This window comes from Homo sapiens, chromosome 11, assembly GCF_000001405.40.
Source record: "Homo sapiens chromosome 11, GRCh38.p14 Primary Assembly".
NCBI lineage: Eukaryota > Metazoa > Chordata > Mammalia > Primates > Hominidae > Homo > Homo sapiens.
In genome coordinates, this window is record NC_000011.10 from 102,309,428 (window position 1) to 102,311,511 (window position 2,084).

Consider the following 2,084-nt stretch of genomic DNA (forward strand, 5'->3'; position numbering starts at 1 on the left):
ATATCAAAGATAATTGATTAAAATTTTGAAAAATTGCAAGTACTTTACCTTTAGATAAGTCATGCCCAATTAATATTTTGGATATGTTTCATCTCAAAGAACTTCCAAATTTATGAAATGTTGCCAACATGTAAAACTAAAAGGTCAAACTCATGGTATAGAAATATTTGAACCTTTAATATTGTCAAAGAAGAGTTTCAGCTAGATATGAATTTAGGAAATTTTAAAACAAAAGATTGATGTGTCCCTTTCTTTCTTTCATCATAAATACATACTGAAAACATTTGTGCTCAGTGTTCTGAATCAGGCTCATGGAAAGCGTAGTGGATACAGTTATGAAAGTTGCGCAACATATGCATGCAAATGCTATGGATCGGTGCCAGTTTACGGAATTGCGGAAAGAAGTAGAAGACACTGACTTGAATGATCTTGTGTTGTTTTCCAATGTTTGCCCAAGACCCTAGCAGGCAGGCACACAGGTGGCTGGACATCAAGGGGAACTCAACGGCGTAGGAGCACACCAGCAGGCAGGCAGGCCATTGACCGCTGAACAACACGAAGTTTGTCTGGGACAGTCAAAGGAGAGCCCAGGTCCGCCGAGCTGCCCGACTCCACAGGAAAACCATTTTTCTTCTGGCTCCCCCATCTGCTGAGAGCTATTTCCAGTCAATAAACCCTTGCACTCATTCTCCAAACCCACGTGTAATCCTATTCTTCTGGAACACCAAAGCAAGAACCCTGAGATACAGAAAGCCCTCTGTCTTTGCGATAAGCCAGGGGTCTAATTGAGCTAACGTAAGCCGCCTATGGATGGCTAAACTAAAAGAGCACCCTGTAACACACGCCCACTGGGCCTTCAGCTTGAACATTCACCCCTAGACACTGCAGTGGTGTCAGAGCCCCACAGCCTGCCCGTCTGCATGCGCCCCCTAGAGGTTTGAGCAGCAGGGCACTGAAGAAGTGAGCCATTCCGTCTGTCGCAAGCCCTGCGAGGGGGACAAGGGAACTTTTTCCATTTATTTTATTTATGTATTTATTTATTTTTGAGACGGAATCTCGCTCTGTCACCCAGGCTGGGGTGTAGTGGGGCGATCTCAGCTCACTGCAACCTCCACCTCCCGGGTTCAAGCGATTCTTCTGCCTCAGCCTCCCGAGTAGCTGGGACTACAGGCGCACGCCACCACGTCTGGCTAATTTTTGTATTTTTAGTAGAGACGGGGTTTCACCATATTGGCCAGGCTGGTCTCCAACTCCTGACCTCGTGATCCACCTGCCTTGGGCTCCCAAAGTGCTGGGATTACGGGCATGAACCACCGCGCCCAGCCCTTTTTACATTTCAATAGTCCTAAATAGAAAAGTGAATATCACAAAGCTTCTAAAAGAAAATATAGAAGAAAATCTTCATAATCTTGGGATAGGCAAAGCGTTCTTAAACATGATATAAAACACACTGAACTTAAAAATATTATAAGTTGGACTTCATGGAATTAAAATATTCTACTTATCAAAAGAAACTATTAATGAAGCGTAAAGACAAGCTACAAATGGGGAGAAACTGTTCACAGTGCACATGTCAATGACAGGACTCAACCCAGGGTATATAAGGAATTCCCTGAAGTCAATCAATTCAATTTAAAAATTGGAGGAAGATTTGAACAGGCACCTCACAAAATATGATATCTAAAGTGTCGAGAAGCATATGGAAATATAGTCAACATCATTAATCAACAGGGATAGAAAAAAGCATAATGGGATGCCACCACATACCCAAAAGAAGAGCTAAACTTAAAAAGGCTCACAATACTAAGCCTTGGGAAAGATGTGTAGCAACTAGAACTCTTATACACTGCTGGTGAGAGTGTAAAATGGTGCAAAGACTTTGTAAAACTTTCGGCAATTTCTAATAAAAATAAAACATACACCTACCCAATGGCAATTCCGTATCCAGGTATTTAGCCAACAGGAAGAATTCATAGGTTCACCAAAAGAAAAACTAAAATGGGCTGGGCACAATGGCTGGGCACACCTGTAATCCTAGTACTTTGGGAGGCTGAGTTGGGCGGATCACTTGAGCTTGAGCTCAG

At 42.8% G+C, this 2,084-nt stretch overlaps 1 annotated feature.

Annotated features, from left to right (window-relative positions):
* Positions 791 to 1,085: an enhancer, noted in NCBI's record as "tiled region #9487; K562 Activating non-DNase unmatched - State 13:Ctcf". NCBI's record gives its function as "activates a minimal TATA promoter and a strong SV40 promoter by Sharpr-MPRA in K562 cells {active_cell/tissue: K562}" and the evidence as "EXISTENCE:reporter gene assay evidence [ECO:0000049][PMID:27701403]".